This window comes from Homo sapiens, chromosome 7 (genome assembly GCF_000001405.40).
Source record: "Homo sapiens chromosome 7, GRCh38.p14 Primary Assembly".
Lineage (NCBI taxonomy): Eukaryota > Metazoa > Chordata > Mammalia > Primates > Hominidae > Homo > Homo sapiens.
Window position 1 is genome coordinate 42,485,949 of NC_000007.14, and position 19,007 is coordinate 42,504,955.

Here is a 19,007-nt window from a genome sequence, read left to right on the forward strand (position 1 = left end):
AAAGCTCTGCATGACCCAATCCCACCTCTGCTTCTAGGAGAGAAATCTGCATTTACCTTCTACATATTTTTCCTCTGGATGAACTACCTTTTGAAGAAATTGTACTTGGGAGCTGGGTGGGGGAGGGGGTGGGAGGAATTCAAAAGCACCAATCTCAATATAGGTTTGTAAAAGAGAAGCTGAATACGTTTAGCTGCTTTCTTAATTTTACTGTAGTCCCATGACTTTGTTTGAAGAACAATCCATTTTCAAACTCTCTAAAAATACAACTTTAATGCATGTATCAAAATACATAAAGAGAAATATAAGTGATAAGAGGATTTATGACTTGTTATTTAATTTTCTTTTCAACATCTTTTTCTTTCTTTTTATTTTTTGAGTTGGGGTCTGGGTTCAATGGATCCTCCCACCTCAGCCTCCAGAGTCTCTGGGGTTACAGGTGCGTGCCACCATATCCAGCTAATTCTTTTTGCACAGATGGAGTCTCACTGTGTTGCCCAGGCTGGCCTCCAACTCCTGACCTCAAGCAATACTCCTGCCTTGGCCTCCCAAAGTGCTGGGATTACAGGTATGAGCCACTGCATCTGGCCTATCAACATCCATGTTTAAATGATTTTTAAAAATATTCCGTGTTGGATAAGGGCCTTTTATGTACAAACCTCTAGAAATTCTATTACTGAGGCATTGTGGTACTTGTAGTCTTCTAGAACTGTTTCTCAAACAAAATAGCTGATTCTCCAATGACATAAAATGTCCATGAGAAAACAGCAGCATCACACAGAAAACAAGTTACAGAAGCTGCAGTTGTTCATTCATTCACTCAACAGACATATTTGAGGGCCTCCTGTGTACCATGTGTTGTGCTAGATGCTGACTATACAACATTAACCAAGGCCTAGTTTTGTCCTCAGGAACTTATAGCCTTATGAGGAAACATGCACAACAAAAATAAAAATAGCACAGGGTAAATGTTAACATGGAAACTTTGTGGGGTGAAGGGGGAATAGAGAAGAAACGTACATCTCTTAGGGAGAAAATGGGAAAAATTTACAAGGAAGGAAAAATTGAGCTGAGGACAGGGCTGGGTTCATGGCATGCACATGTCACCTAAAGCCAGCTTCTACAGCATCTCATGCTTAGCTCAGTGCTCTACTCTTGCTATCTTGAAATTCTTCATACTTTTTAAACAAGGGGACTGTATTTTCATTTTATACTGGACCCCCAAAATTATGTGCAGTAGCTGGTCCTGGCCGAGCTAGGTGATGAAGTGGGTGAAAGTTTCTTAAGCAAATGGAGTAGTAAGAGATGGAAATGTGAAAGAATGGGAAATGTAAAATCTACTGAGTTGTGTAATTTGACTAAGTTACATGTTGGGGTGGAGCTGGAAGTGTAGAGATGATGAGGTAAGGCAAATCGTAGGACCTGGATCTTGAAGGGTCTTGGGTTTGTTGCAAAAGAGCTTAGATTTTATCCCATGAGTGATATAGTCATTCAAAATTTTGACTGAGTAAGTAGCAAGAGTACATAGAATGAGAAAAGCAGCAGGCCTAGCAGTGTACTCTGGAAAAAATTAAAATACAAGGCTTGGGTAGGGAAATTGGAATCAATAAAGTAAAGAGAGAGAATGCATGAAAGGCTACATGACTGGGAGAGTAGCATTACATGCTAACCAAAAGAACAAGCTTTAATCAGTTATTTTTAAATTGAGAAAAAAATTCTATATGTTTGTCATATACAACATGATCTTTTGAAACGTGTATGTTGTAGAATACTTAAACTGAGCTAAGTAGCATGCATTACCTCAAATACCATTTTTTGGTGGGAAGAACACTTCAAATCCACTATCAAATCCACTGTGATTTTGAAGAATATTATATATATATTTTTTTCTTTTTTTTTTTTGAGACGCGGTCTCACTTTGTCGCCCAAGCTGGAGTGCAGTGGCTCAATCTCGGCTCACTGCAATCTCCGTTTCCCAGGTTCAAGCGATTCTCCTGCCTCAGCCTCCTGAGTAGATGAGACTGCAAGCTCATGCCACCACACCCAGTTAATTTTTGTATTTTTAGTAGAGATGGGGTTTCATCATTTTGGCCAGGATGGCCTTGATCTCCTGACCTCGTGATCCGCCTGCCTTGGTCTCCCAAAGTGCTGGGATTACAGTCATAAGCCACCGTGCCTGGCCAGAATATAATATATTCTTATTAACTACAGTCATGTACAATAGATATGAACTTATTTCTTCTGACTGAAATTTCGTATCCTTTCACTTACAAGTTTTTGAAAGGAAGGGGCAGTCAACAGCAGCAGGGAAGGGGTGATTGCATTGCTCATCCTCACAGCCCATTGCAGCTGCACCTTAGCCATGTTCCTGTCCTCTTGGTCCAGGTGTTCTCCCTAGTCCTCTCACCTTCCTTTGTGCATGTCTCCTGTGGGTTTCTCTTTACCATTCCAAAGTAGTCCCAGGCATCCTAAAGGCACTCCATCCTTCTATTGGCAAGGATTGGGCAAGAATTGATGAAAACTCAAAGCAGAGTCTGACAGATCACCAGCTTGCCATGATATGTGATTTAAATCAGCCCAAACCACCCATGCAAGTACCATGGTTTGGGTGTCAATCAAAATAAGTACTTGGCTTCACACTCCTGTGTCTTCATGCTGTTGTGCTCAACTTTCTCCTTTCACCTCACAACCTGCTTCGATTCTGCAGCCCCTGCTTCCTGGGGTTCCTGGTCTTGTTGCCTCTCTGCATCCACTCTTTGCCTTGGGACTTGGCAGAGCAGCCACTCTTGGTGTTCCTGAGGATGTGCCTTCCTGTACCTCCTGGTTCCTTGCATTTCTGGCTTGCCTGACCTAGGTTTGAGCCCTTGGATCCCACTGGAATGATTGCTCACTTGGTTTGCTGCCATGAACCCTACCCATCATGATGGTGACACACACTATCTTGTTCTTGCTGCTTTTCAAAACCCCAGAGTCAAATCCACCATTTAAAATCAATAATACAAGAGCTATGTCCCTTCTCTTCTACACTTTGACATTTTCCACAAGATGATCGTTTATTGAAGTCCCTACAAATGACAGCCTGAGGCTGAATGGAGGACAGGACGGTTGTCCTGAGGATACTTCGTGTGGGAATTCTACGTCAATCTTGTCTTCATTTACTCCATCATCTCTGTTCTTGTGTGACTCTGCTGGGTGGGTTCTCTGTATAAGTGGGCTCTTGCATGAGTCATTTCTCAAGTGAAAATACATTTCCAGTGGCTCATTTTCAAGCTTTAAGATAGCATTTTGAACTTTATATACATATAGATATAAGCTTATATATATAATACCCACACATATATATGCTATATATGTGAGGTACATAATTTCAGAAATCCTTAATTTCTCACATACTTATTTGGTAGTAACATTAAGGGATTATGAAAACATTTTCATTGGACACAGATCCAAATGAAAAAAATAAAAGGGAAAAACACTATAGAAATCCCTGGCAAGGCATTGGGTAGTAGGTGCCTGGTATCCATCTAGCTAGACTAGTGTGTACATCTGGCTATGATACAAGTTTTGCCTTCCTAAAAAAGGTTTGGAACTTTTATGTTAGGAAGGAATGCAGGACAAGATCTTGGTTTCTTAGTTTGGACAAGCTTCCTGTTGAGTGGTTGGAGCTGTGCTAAGAAGCTGTTTTAAGAGTGTGCATGTGTGCAGGAGGTAAGGACCCAGGCCTGGGAGAGGAACTGAAGGACAGGCAGAGGTTATGACAATGGGAGGATTCACTTGCCTTGCCATGCCAAGCCTCAGCTGGTGCAGCCTCCAGAGGTCATGTGAGCATCTGTTTCATTGGATTTAGAATGACAAAAAAATATGGTCTCTTGATAATTATTTGCCTTAAAAAGAGCTAAATAGTGGCTTTCAATAAATAGTATATTCTCTTAGTTTTTTTCTATAATATAAAATATAAGGTAACATACAAGAAAAATCCATCCAGGTTTCCATTAGTCTAAAACCCTTTGCCAATTGTAACTTTTCTCAGGGGGTTTTTCTAGAAGCCATTGGGCCAATTATTGTGCCCTGGAAATGTGCGAGGGAAGAGCTAGCAAATCGCCCCTGAGATCTGTATCGACTCATCCCTTAGAGACAGCAAACGGCATATCCCCAAGCCCTGAATATCTTCCTGCCAAACTCCTCTGGGTGCCTGTGTGATAGACATGTGTCTGATCCACAGGGTGGAGGCACCTAACTCCACCCCTCATTACCATTTTCCTTTCAGTCATGTGCTTTCAGCTGCACCTGTTGTCATGCTTAGCCCTATAACTGTTTACTTTGATCTTATTGAACTTGCTTGTAATAACTTTTGCGCATTCATTGGACAAGCTATTACCAGACCCACACAATATTCTTAAGAAATGCATGGTTTAGTCTGAGTAAATAGGCAGGTGAGATATATTTGTAGAGCTTAAAAATAATGAGCTGTTCGGTCAATATGTCACCCTTCACAGATAAGTAGCTGATCTTGATATATATATATATATATATTCTGAAAGTTCATAGGGAATCACTGAATTCACACAAATAAGTAGATTGGTTTTCAAATTACTTGTGGTGAAAATGAATTTATTCATCCCTTAAATATACCTAATAAATAGCTGCAAATGGGAGAATTGCTTACCTTGAGTTTTTAAACAATTTAATTCTGTATTTATTATAGGATAATGCTCTTGGTAAGAACGTAAAGCATTAGCTTTGGGAAAAAGAAGATTTACTATTTTCCACTCACTGATCCATCAAGGAAGACTCTACTCCAAGGCTCTGCTCCTTGTTCATCTATGAAACAAATTACAAGAGAGAATATGGAGTGGACAACGGATGCACCCAGATCAGTAGCTAATAATGTCTAAGTCAGTGCCCTGGAGCCAATCTGTTCCTCCTCTCCCCACCCCCATAAATAAAGGCAATGCAATTTCCATCACTTTGAAAGTCCCTTTTAAATTCTCACTTGAGAATTACTGAGTTAGTGCAAAATGCATACCCTAACAAAACAAAACGAAATAAAGCAAAACAAAACAAATGCCTTGAGTTCAGTGTACCTACAACCAGATGTAAAGTTTAATTTTTGAGGCAATGGTGTCATAAAGCACCCAATCACTTTTGCTGAGATAAAATTAACTCATTTGCACATCCACTCCATGAGACTCCATGTGAATGACCTGTCCCATGCACCTGTTGAGGCACAGCTTGGGGTGGACACCAGGCAAGATCCCAAGATAGGCTAGAACTGTGGGCAGAAAACCAGCAGGCATGCAGGTCCTGTCCATGAGAGTTTGGGCCCAAGTGCCCAGGGTATTAGTCAGAATAGGCACCCCATTTCCCCTGCTGCTCACTCCTTCAAATGGAACGAGTGTGCCAGTGACCTTGGTGTGCAGGAATTAACACTTGTAGCTTAAGCATCGGGCAGTCTGAGTTCAGATGCCAGCTGTCTAGAGGGATGCTGAGAAATGCCAACAGCTCAGAGTCTGAAGACGTGGAAGATCCAGAGTCCTGAGGGAAACTGAGCTGTGTGTAGCCCTGCCCCTGGGAGACCAGGGAGATGGGACCTCTAGTGCCAGATCATTCCCAGGAAATTGGAGTGAGCCCTGCACACAGCAATACATCAAATTTTGAGAAGTTCTTATTTTATCAGACACTAATACTGCTGATTCCTTAAGTGACTTTTTAACAGTTTCTAATTATCAAGAAATGAGGCAGTATCTTTCATTCTAAGAGCCTAACGCCTCATGAATTTAAAGAAGACTTTTTAAATTGTAAAAATAATATTATGATAAAGCAAAAACTCAAGCAGTGTAGATAGGTAGCAGATAAAAAGTAAGTCAAATCAGTTTCTAATATATTTATTTTGTATATACACTAAAATATGGTTCTAATATTTTTTCAATCTTAATCTTGGGTAGTTTAAGGAGAAAATTGTATCATGTCATCTGTAAAAGTGATAATTGGTATCCTTTCCAGTAGCCTTTTATATCATATTTACATAGTTATACAATTTATATTACACACACACACACACACACACACACACACACACTCACACCTGATAGAGTTGGCTTTTCTTTTTTTTTAATTTGATTCTAATGGACGTGCTTCTAGGATAGCATATCCCAAAAAGGTGTATATTAAAAATTGTTCAAAAGAAGTTTAATATGAGTATTGTGAAAAAGTTCTGCATTCTCAAATAAAAGTGGTAGAAAACACTATATTTAAGAGTTAAACTTGGTGTTTGGATTTCTCAGAGCCTTTAATAGGCTAATTAGGACTTTAAGGTGACTCTCCAAGGGGAACTGGTCTGTTTGGCAAACTGGTCCTTGACCTCAGGACATATGTACATGAAACTGTTATTAATCTTTTAGTATGTACTATATCACGAACATCTTCCTGTGTTGTTAAATATTCTTCTACAACTGTTTCTAATCAAATATATGGAAGCTGTTAATTTTCTTACACTCCTAACAGTTTTTGCTTTACATGTTTTCAGGTGCAGTTCAGATTTGTGGCCCTGAATTTTATACAATTTTAGGAGTCACTTTTTAGACAAAGAGTACAAAGTCAGAAGCACGAAATTGTTAGTATGCCTGTTTGTTTTCTGCTGCTATATCTTGAATGGGAATGTTGTCTGCAATGAACACAAAAATCTCTCTCTCTCAATATCTTTGCTTTATTTGATATTAAAATTGATCTCCCTGCCTTCGCTTTTCTCTTTGCTTTATCATTTTGTTTTTGTCAGCTTCTCTTGTATTTATTAGAAAAATATGAAAACCAAAAGAATTTGCCTTGTAATAAGATACATTAAATTACTTCTGAAAAGGTTTCATGTCATCCACAAATAAAGAGCTGATTCAGAAAAATTTTAATAGTAGTAATAGTATTTACAGAAACAATTCTAATACTAACAGTGGGTACTCACTATGTGCCAAGCATTGAGTTATCTACTTAATATGGATTACGTTTTGATAGCACAAATCCTATAAGATAGGTACTACTAATATTCACATTTCATAGATGAGAACGCTGAGGCATGCAGTATTAGACAGCCGTGAGTGTGGAGACAGATTCACACGGAGCCCACTGAGAGTCTGGCCTTTTATGAGGAAGCTTCCTCCCTCTCTTCAACAAGAAGTCCGGGTCTGCATCGCCCTGCTGAGGATGCTACTATGCAAACGCAGGGAGTCTACAGATTACAAGTGTAATAACATAATGGAATATTTTATATAAAATCTTGAAACAGACAGATTTCACATCAGGAACTGTTAGCATGATGTCATGTGATTCTAATGCCTATTAAATTTTAAAGATCAATCAATAAATTATAAATAAACAAATAGTGACCTACAAATGTCTAAGTGAAGGTGGGGGCTCCGGGGAGGGGGAGAGAATTTGAAAAGTCTGCTCGACCCCTTGGCAGCGATTCCAAGGCTAAGGGAAGCTCCCTCTCAGGTGCCTGACAGCAGGAGCAGCCGGATTTTGGAAAGGGAGGAGGCCGGGACGCATGCAGCTTGGTGGGGGCTGTGTCCGAGGTCCGCAGGGAGAAGCTGAGCGACAGCCCCAGCAGGGACCTACTGCTGGCGCCCACTCCCCGCGGCCGCTGGCCAAGTGTGGGCTCTCGGGTTCGTTTCCACCCAGCGCGGCGGTGTTATTCGGAGAAGGAAAATAAATGTCTGCGGTTGCTCTGCCGGGCTGCGGGGGCGGTGCCCTGGAAGGAGGGGCTGTGCATCTGCACCATTTCTAGGAATGTCCGCCCTCTGGGAACCCAGCCCTGAAGTGCTCTGAGAATGAGCCGTGTTTACGGAAAGCCTCTGTCTCATGCTCCGCATTCTCCGTTCTGATTCTGACCACAGCAAGAGTGGACGCTCTCCACGCCTGGAGATTCCCATTCCAGCTTAGCCTTGCCAGGCACCCATTCTTATCAGGGCTGCAAGATCTTTCCCCTTGGGACCCCAGGGTCCCTACATCCCCTCTCAAGGGCTTAAGCTGCTCTGATTTCAAAAGGCATGCATTAGGGTGCCCCCTCTGCAGCCTAACCACTTCCCACACTGCGGAGCAGAGCTGCTAACCAGTCCTCTCATTCCTGCTTGCTTTGGCTAGCTTTCAACACCCCAAATCACACACACCAAATGCAGGTGGCTCTACCTGGGAAGGGGAAACGATTTATTGTGAGGGGCATTTTGCATGTTGCTCAGTGAGATGAAGGCAAGCTTTGAGGAAAAAGTTCAGCTTTTTATTTGGCCTCTTATCTTTGAAAGTCTAATTAATGAATCCACAAGTAGAGCATTTACCTGGACATTATAAAATACTTTGGATTTTCCTAGCCTCTGTGCCATCCCCTGATGAACCCTGAAGCTCTCTTTTTCATTATGTGTCTCAGAGCAGGCAAACTCCAGGAAGCCCAGCCTGGCGAACGCTTCCCATCAGACAACTCTGTCTGGAGCCACCATTTGAAAATATCCCCAAGGCTATTGTATTCAACCTTTACTTAAAGATCATTTCTATGAGGCATCCAATTTCTGCGGCTCCCTTGGGCTGCGGTTTAAGACAGGCTTCACAGTATTTACTGTTTATAGTTTTGAGCTGACAGCTATTTAAGGGCAAGAGATTTCATCTGCCACCATGTCTCACAGCTTTTGCCACCAACACATTTACCAGACGGAACAAGCTGGAACTTTGTGAAACCAAGGAAACAAGTGTAATATGGTTTAGGGGGAAAAAAATTAAAATTTGGAGTTATTTTCCTGCTGATTGTTTCTGTGTGCTCCGTCACATTGAATTATGGGGAGCTGGCGTATCAATGGCATCTGTATGGCCTGCAATAATAGCCACTTGTTCATCAGACATGTAGGATGGTTGGCTCTACTGATCTTGGCTGAGATCACCTACATTCATGGCTGGCTGTTGGCTGGGGTGACCGGGGTGACTGATCTCTGCTTCCCACGCCTCTCATCCTCCAGCAGGCTAGCCTGGGCATGTCATCAGAGTAAAGCAGAAGCACAGCAGAAATACTCGCGGTCTCTTGAGACCTAGTCTCAGAATTAACTTACCATCAAGTCCAGTGAATTCTAGTCTAAAGAAAGTTCAAGGTCAGCCAATTTTTAAGGCAATGGGAGAATAAACTCTGGAAAGAACTGTAAAGTCACAAAAAAAATCACTGGACACAGGGAGGTTTGAAGTATTGGTGCTATTAATACGATCCACCATGGTTGTATACATGCCTTTCTCCTCTTCCCTGGAGTTCTTCCACCATGTCTTATTTATCTTTCTGTCTGCCAGTTCTTAGGACAGCACATGGCATGTAGTCAGTATTCACTAAGCAACCTTGCATTACTTTGCGCATGAGTGCACATTAGAATAGGCTCCGATACTACAACTACATTTTAATTTTTTTCTTGCAACAATTACATCAGTATTAGAGATGCCTCATTGCCCTCCACCCACACCTACTTCCAGCATTTCCTCTTTACATTTCCCTATCATGTGTCTAGGTCTGGATTATTTTTATTTATCTACTCAGCATCCAATGGAGCTTTTGATATATTGCATCATTTTTGGAAAAGATGTAACCATTTTCTGTTTGACGAATTCTCCTCCACAATTCTCTCTATTCTCTCCTTCTGGAATGCATATTATGTGTATGAATCAGACTTTTCTTATTACATCCTTCATGTTTCTTAACTTGTTTGTTTATCATCTTGTCATTCTCTTTTTTTTCTCCTCTTTTCTGTCTCAGGCTATGTCTAGTTTTGTTGTTGCTGTTGTTAATACTTCTCTCTTCAGTTATGTCTAATATGTTAACAGAGTACCTCACATAGGGGCTGTAGCTTAGAATCACCTGGCAGATTAACAAAATATCAATGCCTGGTCCCACCCCTAGAATTTCTGGTTTAATCGGTGTGGGTCAGGAGATGGACATCAATAACTATGATGCGTAACCAAGGTTAAAAACCATTGATTACAACTTTTTTTTTTTAGAATTTTTTCTCAGTGACTGTATTTTTTTCAGCGTTTCTACTGGAAAAAAAAATCCACTGACTCTTCTTTCATAAACTCTGTTTTTATTTTTATCATGCTATTTCTTCCATAGGACATTTCAAACAGGTATATTTAGATCTCTTTTAGATTGCTCCATTATTTCTAACTCCTAAAATGTAAATTCCCTCATTAGTTGAGTCTGTAGACTGTTATGATGTTGAACTTCTTCAAAAGCTTTATAATTTTTGACTATGAATTCATCTTGCATCTTGTGCCTTGGGTTATAAGGACCTCCTAATGGATTGTTTTCACACTTGCCTGTGCCTGGTCCTGTGGATTTCATCGGCTCCCAGTGATGTTTTATGTAAGTGCATCTTCTTAAGGTTTATACTACACACACAGCTCCGACTCAGGGTCTGTATCTAGCCACACATAGGCTTGGTGTTCTGAGCTCAAGCAAGTAACATGTTTCACAGCCATTACCTGGGGCAGAAGGCTAATTTCCAATCTGGAGGGTAAGGATATCTGGATTTTTATTTGTGAACTCACAATATATTCCCCAGTTCACGTGGGGAGCCCAATTCTGGCTCCTCAGCTGGCATTTGTCATTGGGCATCCCCATGTCCAATTCTTGGGCCTGTCACATACCCCTATTTTGTGTGTGTGTGTGTGTGTGTGTGTGTGTGTGTGTGTGTGTGTGTGTGTTTTATTAATATTTCTTTTTTGAGCACTTACTTACATTCTGCACCACTCACCTTGGCAACACATCTTTTGCTTCTTTGTACTATGTAGATTTCCCCTTCATTTTTCTTACTTGGAAATATCCCTTTGGTACTCTTAAGCTAGTACATGTATTTTCTCAATAAAATTTTATTATAGATAGCTTCAAATTTACAAAAATTGCAAAGATAATGCAGAGTTCTATATACCCTATGCCCGTTTTCCCCTCTTGTAAATATTTGATGTTAGTATACTACATTTGTTACATCTAATGAATTAATATTGACATGTCATTATTAGCTAAAATCCATATTTTATTCTGATTTTCTTAGTTTTTACCCATGCTCTTTTTCTGTACCGGGACATTTAGTCATCATGTCTCCTTAGGCTTCTCTTGGCTGTGATGCTTTTCTGGGCTTTTCTTAATGCTACCTCTATCTCTCTGGTCTTCTTTCCAAAAACTCATGACCTCAGTTTAATTATGAGAACAATATCAGGCATCATGTCAAATATAGTCATGTCTCCTTAGGCTTCTCTTGGCTGTGATGCTTTTCTGGGCTTTCTTATTTTTGATGACCTTAACAGGTTTTTAATTTTAAAAAACTTAAAAAAAATTTTTTTTGAGACAAAGTCTTGCTCTGTTACCCAAGCTGGAGTGCAATGGCATGATGACGGCTCACTGCAATCTTGAACTCCTAGGCTCAATGATCGTCCCACCTCAGCCTGCCAAGTAGCTGGGACTACAGTTGTGCTGCCATGCCCAGCTACCTTAACAGTTTTGAGGACTACTAGTCAGATATTTTTATAGAATGTCTTTCAGCTGGGAATTTGCGTGATATTTTTCTCATAATTAAACTGAGGTCATGAGTTTTTGGAAAGAAGACCAGAGAGATAGAGGTAGCATGTCTCATAAGGGGATATGGAAAGTAAGAAATATCCTGGGGCTTACTTGAGAAGAAAGCCACTAAGTGCAGCTCACACTTAAGGAATGGAGAACTGTGCTCCATCTCCTTGAGGGAAAGAATCTACATAAATTATTTGGAATTTTTCTGCACAGAAAATTTTGTCTGTTCTTCCCTGTTTATTGATTTCTTAATTCAATCATATCAGTATAGACTCATGGATATTTATTTTATACTTTAGATTATCATTGAATACTCTCATTGCTTATTTTATTGTTAAAACACTACAATTTTGGCTATTGGGAGCACTTTCAATTGGCTCCTGTGTCTCTTTGACATACCCCCATCATTGTGTGCATATACTTTTTTGTTGTTGGTTTTGAGCGCTTACTTACATTCTGCAACACAAGATGCTTCAGACTCGTGTTGCATATTCTCTTAGTCCTAGAATCAACCATTTCCCCAAATGTAGATTGTTCCTATTATTGGATAATAGTAGTAGAAATGAAGATCTGGGGCACTAGATGTGCGTGTTGCTAATGGAGTTTGTTGCCTCTAAGCCATTTTAGCTTACAGAAAATGTGTGTATATTAATCCATTAATGTACATGTACCTACCTATAACTACTTCTATATTTAATGTATCTCTATGTTACACTAACATAAGTTCATACTGAATGCCTCCAACTCCAATCCATTGCTATGTGGATCATTCTAGCATCCTATTACATGTCTGTACCTGCTACCTGGATCCTACCATCCACCATGAATTTACTTAATTGTATAGTTTCAGTAAACATGTATAGTGTAGTTTTAGAATTGTTAATCCATATCCCCATGGAAAATAACTTTATCAACTATAGTACAGAGCTTATGTGCAATTTCTTTGCCTTCAGTCTTACAATCTCTACTCATTTCCAAAGTTACTAAGGTCAGCACATTTTCTCCCATCTTCTTCAATGATATTATTTTATATACTCACAGGTAGCACAGTTAGATTCTTATGTCGCAGTTTGCATCCCAGACCTGGAATCCTAGACCTTCTAAATGACTTTTTAAAAATTGTATACATTAAGGTTCACTGTTTTCTCTTTTCGTTTGCTTTAAAAATTATTTTAAAATGCCAAATAAAAGCTATATATACTGTGGTACACAACATGATGTTTTGATACATGTATACATTATTAAATGGCTACAACAAACTAATTAGCATATGCATTCTCTCACATGCTTATCTTTTTTGTAGTGAGAACACTTAAAGTCCACTCTTTTCACAATTTCAAGGTTTACTCCTTGTGCTGTAAAGTTCTATAGGATTTGAAAAATTCATAGATCCATGTATCCACCATTATAGTGCCATACAAAATAGTTTTAGCATCCTAAAAAGTCCTCTGTGCCTCACCTACTCAACATTTTCCCTTCCCCAAGCTGCAGGCAATCACTGCTCTGTTTACTATTTCTATAATTTCCCAGAATGTCACATAAAAGGAATCATGCAGTCTACAGCCTTCTTTGACAGGCTTATTGCACTTAGTAATATGTGTTCAAGATTCATCCTTAGTTTTGTGTAGCTTGATAGCTAATTCCTTGCTATCACAGAATGGTGATCCATTGCATAGATGTACCACAGTTTGTTTTCCATTCACCTATTGAAGGGCATCTTTGTTCCTTCCAGTTTTTGGCAATTATAAATAAAACTGCTGTAGCTATTTGTGTTTGGGTTTTTGTGTGTATGCATACTTTTGAAATGTACATAGACATATATTTGCTTTTATAGCATTTGTATGAGTTGGTAAAATTTTATCCTGTGTTCAACATCGCATTTCGATTCAGAAGCCCCTGAGAATTAGCCCAACAAACAGATCTTGAAAGCTTAAAAGGCTTTCATAGGCTTTAATTAACTGAACCTACAATGACAGAGAGTAAACTTTTTACATATGGAAAGTCACACTTAGGGATTGAAGTTGCCATGTTGTCACCCATGTTAGCACAGTCATGTTGAGCAACACATCTGTATGCTGACAAGGCAGCTCTGTGGTAGGAGAATAATGGACATGGAGAGACAAGACACAGAGAGAAAGGAGTAGAAAACGCACCTCTGTTTCTGTTTCTGATTTATTTTCCAGTTCCCACTTTATTTCCTGTGGTGTCCTGCTATACTTTATGTTTCGATTCTGTGAGATTCATTTTCAATGGTTTAATAATCTTCCTTCTTACTTCAGTTAGCTTATATATACTTCTGTTCCTTGTAACCAAAATATTACCAAACCCCCCCAACACACACATACAAACAAATAAAAACCTTGAGAAGATTGTGTGTTTGCTTAAGAAAACAGATTATAGAACCCCAAATCCCCAAATCCTTACCAGTTGCTGCTTGTGGTTATATTTTCCCCACTAGATCCCTGAGACACTCTCAAGAGAGTTCTCCAGGAACTCCAGGAATACCCATTAAAAATCAAAGCAATGGTCAATGCCTGCCTAAATGGTATTCTTTACTTATTACTTAGTTTGGGCTACTTTTGTACTTTGAGAAGCTGATTGACAAACCTGCTTTAGTCTTCCATTTTCCTGCCCCAGAATAGTCCTGTTGGAACTTCTAAACAAAGGGAATGCTTTTTCCAAGAAAGAGGCTCATTCCCTTAACACACCAGCTACATAGGAGCTACAGAAGTGAGCAACAAAAGCCAAAGAAGGGAACGAAGAGGGGGGGAAAATTGTTACATTTTTGAGCTTCCTACAGTAATCTCCAAGCCATGAACACATCCTGCTCTTTCTTTGTTATTTTTTTATGTTATTTTATTTTCTATTGGGGAATAACTTATATAAAGTACAATAATCTTACATGTACAACTTGGTGAATTTTTACCTATGTATACAGCAATGTCATCACCAGCCAGATCAAGATCTAGAAAATTATTATCACCCCAGAAAGTTCCCTGAACTTCATATAAATGGATTCCAGTAGTATTCAATCTTTTGATATTTCATCCATGTTGTTATATATGTAAGTAATTTGTTCTATTTGGTGGGGTATGCAATATTTTATTATATGAAAGACTACAATTGATTCACCTGTTCTTATATAATTGTACATTGGCTATTATGAATAAAGTTGTTCTGAGTATTCATGTACAAGTCATGTTTTTTGGCACATGCAATCATTTCTCTTATATATACCTAGGAGTGGAATTGTTGGAACAAAAAGTAAGTATATATTTGTTTTATTGCCAAACAGCTTTCCAAAGTGGGAGAAGTCTACTTTAAATGGCAATGAATGAGTTCCAACTGCTTCACCTATTTGCCAACATTGGTATTGCCTTTAAAATTTTAAACATTCTAGTGGTTGTATTCTTTCTTTTTTGTCCTTGGTCCATACCATGACTCTTCCTCCTTGAACTTAGTTCTTTCCAAAATAATTAAGCAGCTTCTTAGCAGGTTTAGCAAGTGGGGTTCTTCTATCAACATTTTCTTGAATTTTGGCAGTGGCTTCCTGAATGGAGTATTACAGAGCTATAATTGATTAATGATGTTTTTCATCAGCTCAAAAGGAAAAATATTGCAAAACATGCAAAATATGTATCATCCTGAATTTAAAGTATACCACTACCAAATTCCAAGGAGCTGTGATGTGATCTATTATTTTTCTCTTAGTATGTGAAAGCAAATCATCAGTTTTGAATCCACGAGACCCTGTTGAATTAGTTAATGTACATCTATTGGACCTATTCTATGTTGTAGGAATTGCACCATTAATACATGAGTGAAGAATGACCCTTTCCATTGTCGGCACACTTACTAAAGAACATACTGCAAAGCAGTCGCTCATCATCCCTTGAGACTGCAGATTAACTCTTCCCATTTTTTTTTTATCAGAGCAAATTTTCTCCATTGAACATAATACTTACTATGCTCTTAGTCTGAAGCTAGATCATTGTATTCAAAATTTTATTTTATTCACATAAAACTGATGAAACTAATGCAGTCTTAATAAGCTTTCAAAAGTTTAATTTTATATATTAAATAATCATGGATTTTCCCTCAAATTCCGGTTGATATTTCCAACATGCATCTATTGTAATTAATACTTTTAAGTGTAATGTTATGCAGAAAAGAGGTATAGTCTACAGACCTTCAGTATTCCCAAGGGATAGAACCCAGGACCTTTCACAAATACAGACATTTGTGATTTGGAAATATATAATTATTTGGGTTCGTTGTTAAATATAAAATCTTTGGGTTTGTTTCTAAAATATACTTCTTGGGGCTTCTTGCTCATATTTTTAAAATATAAGTAAGCCACATTTTGACTTTGATGATGAAATTTCTCTCAGGGGGTGGGTTACATCATGGCACAAAATTAGTATTTTTCCACAAAATTCATTTTGTAGGAATAAAGAGTGAAGAAAAGCAAATTCTTCATGGTTGACTGGGTTCCTTTAATGCTCATTCAATGTACCCACCAAAAATCTTCAAATGCATGCTTCAGGAAAATTTAAATTATTACATTTCCAAAAATATTTTTTGAATAAAATGATGAAAGGTATCCCAAAGCTTCTCCCAGACTCAGACACACAGGGCCTGAGACACACAAACAGATGACCTTATCCTGACCTCTTCCTTCCTGTAGCTGATTCATGACCTTGGCAGTGATTCACATCTTCACAGACTAGCACAGTTCATCCCCTGATCACTGAACCCATCTCCATTTATATGAGGTACTGCTATGTTAATTATATAATAAAATTCCTGCTGTATGGGCTTTGGTGCATTTTTCTATGTTGATGTGATCTGAACTAATCCCTCAGAAGACTGAGGCAGTTCCTTACATCCTCTACGTCTTTATTAGGAATTTGGTGTATTACAGCATCTCCACCATTTGTCTTGGCATACTCACCTGAGGAGCTTGATAAAAACACAGATTCCTGTTTTCCTTCATAGACCCATGTAACTGGGCTCTCCTAAGAGGGAAGTTGAGCATCTGTAGCTCTAACAAGCATTCTAGATAATGGTTATGATGCACTAAATTTTGGAACTATCCTTATAGTGGAAAGACTGTGTTTTCTCCCACCGGTTTTATTTATATACAGTACATTTGAGTCATGGCTGTACCGTGTAAAACAAAATTTATCTACATATTTCTATTTATCTCTTCATCGATCAGTGTGTCCCTCCATCCCTCTATCCCTCTATTCCTCCATCATGCATTGCTTTTCTGTTTAGTGTTTTAATGATTTAGCCACTGCTTTACTGAGCAACTAAATCAGCCTTGACAATGGATTTGTGTGACTTTGGGGAAGTTAGCCTTTTTAAGCTACAGTTTCCTCATTTGTGAAATGAATATAATGAGAATATTTACCTTCCAGTTTATCATGGTAGTGAAATAAGAAAGCACGGGTAAATGCTTAATACAGTGTCTTGATCAAGATAAGGTGTCAATAAATGTTAATTCCTTTCACCTTTTTCATTAAAGGACTATAACGCTTTTCAGAAGCACTTCATATAGCGATATATCTACTATTTAGGTTATCAAATATAAGCATTTAATGTTGTAAATTTTCTTCTAAGCATTGGTTACCTGCATCCCACAGAATCTGAGATGTTGTATTTTATTTTTGTCCACTTCAAAATATTTTCAAATTTCCTTTGCGATCTTCTCTTTGACCAATTGATTATTTAGAAGTGTTGTTTTATTTCTATATATTTGAAGATTTCCCTTTTATTTTTCTGTTATTGATATCTGGTTTAAATATTTTAAAGTCAGATAACATACTTTATATGATTAAAGTTTTTAAAAATTTGTTAAGGTTTGTTCTATGATCCACTATGTCATCTACCTTGGTAAATGTTACATATGCACTTAAAAGAATATATATCCTGCTATTGTTGGCTGGAGTGTTCTATAAACATCAAATACATCCAGCTTGTTAGTGGCATTTTTCTTATCTTCTATATCGTTGTGATTTTCTGCCTTTTAGTTCTATCAATTAGTGAAAGAGGAGTTTTGAAGTTTCCAACATTAACCATGGGTTTTTCCATTTATTTTAGCTTTTTCTTTCAATTTTAAAAGCTCTCTTTTCTACAGATACGTTTAGGATTTTGATGTCTTCTTGGTAAATTTAACCTTTTAAAAATATGTAATGTCTTTCTTTATTTCTGGTAATTTTCTTTGCTCTGAAGTTTAATTTGTCTTATATTAATATTGCCACTGCAGTTTTCTTTTGGTTAGTGTGTGTAAGACACACCAAAACCCATCCTTTACCTTTTAATCTATGTAGTTTGCTGTATTTCAAGTGAGTTTCTTATAGAGAATATATAGTCATTCTGACAATCTATCTTTTAAATGGTGTGTAGGATCATTTGTATTTAATGTAATTATTATGTTTTGATTAATGTCTACTGTCTTAATATTTATTTTTTGTTTGTTCCCTCTCTTTTTTGTTGCATTGTTTTCTTTTCCTATCTTCCTTTGAATGGTTTTAAGTACTCCACTGAAGTATTTTCAGTACTCCATTTAAAAAAAATCTGTATTGTACTCTATTTCTTTGTATAATTTTTAGTATTTGTTATAGGGATTACAATATACATATTTAGCTTTTCCAAGTCTACTTAGAATCAATTTTTACCATGTCAAATATAATGTAGAAATTTTGACAAACATATAGATCCCTATACCCTCTCCATTTTATGTTTTAGTTGTCTTATATATTACACTTACATACATCAAAAACTTTATCAGATAATGTCAGTTTTTACTCTCATAATTCAAACATTTTAAGGAATCTTAGAAGAAAAGTATAGTCAGTCATATTTACCTAGGTACTTACTATTTCTGTTCCTCTTCCTTCATTACTGATGTTCTTGTGTAATTTCTTCTGTCTAAAGAAATTCCTTTTGTAAATATTTTAGAACAAATTTGCTGGCAATGAATTTTTATAGTTTTTCTTAGCTGAGACTGTCTTAGAATGTATTTATTTCACTTTCATTTCTGAAAAACATTGTTGGTGGATATAGAATTCTGGGTCAATAATTCTGTTCTTTAAATACTTCAAAAATATTATCTCAATTCCTCTGGAATAAATGGTGTCTTACAAGAAAGCACAATTTTTCTTTCTTTTTTTTGGTTAGTGTTTTTATTTTATTATACTTTAAGTTCTAGGGTATATGTGCACAATGTGCAGGTTTGTTACATATGTATACATGTGCCATGTTGGTGTGCTGCACCCACTAACTCGTCATTTACATTAGGTATTTCTCCTAATGTTATCTCTCGCCCCTCCCCCTACCCCATGACAGGCCCCAGTGTGATGTTCCCCTGCCTGTGTCTAAATGTTCTCATTGTTCAATTCCTACCTGTGAGTGAGAACATGTGGTG

At 37.9% G+C, this 19,007-nt stretch overlaps 3 annotated features.

The window, feature by feature from the left end:
- Positions 7,560-8,060: an enhancer, noted in NCBI's record as "H3K4me1 hESC enhancer chr7:42533107-42533607 (GRCh37/hg19 assembly coordinates)". NCBI's record gives its function as "activates a minimal SCP1, AML or CMV promoter by ChIP-STARR-seq in naive H9 embryonic stem cells {active_cell/tissue: H9 hESC(naive)}" and the evidence as "EXISTENCE:reporter gene assay evidence [ECO:0000049][PMID:30033119]".
- Positions 7,662-7,956: an enhancer, noted in NCBI's record as "tiled region #13923; K562 Activating non-DNase unmatched - State 4:PromP". NCBI's record gives its function as "activates a minimal TATA promoter and a strong SV40 promoter by Sharpr-MPRA in K562 cells {active_cell/tissue: K562}" and the evidence as "EXISTENCE:reporter gene assay evidence [ECO:0000049][PMID:27701403]".
- Positions 7,662-7,956: a silencer, noted in NCBI's record as "tiled region #13923; HepG2 Repressive non-DNase unmatched - State 24:Quies". NCBI's record gives its function as "represses a minimal TATA promoter and a strong SV40 promoter by Sharpr-MPRA in HepG2 cells {active_cell/tissue: HepG2}" and the evidence as "EXISTENCE:reporter gene assay evidence [ECO:0000049][PMID:27701403]".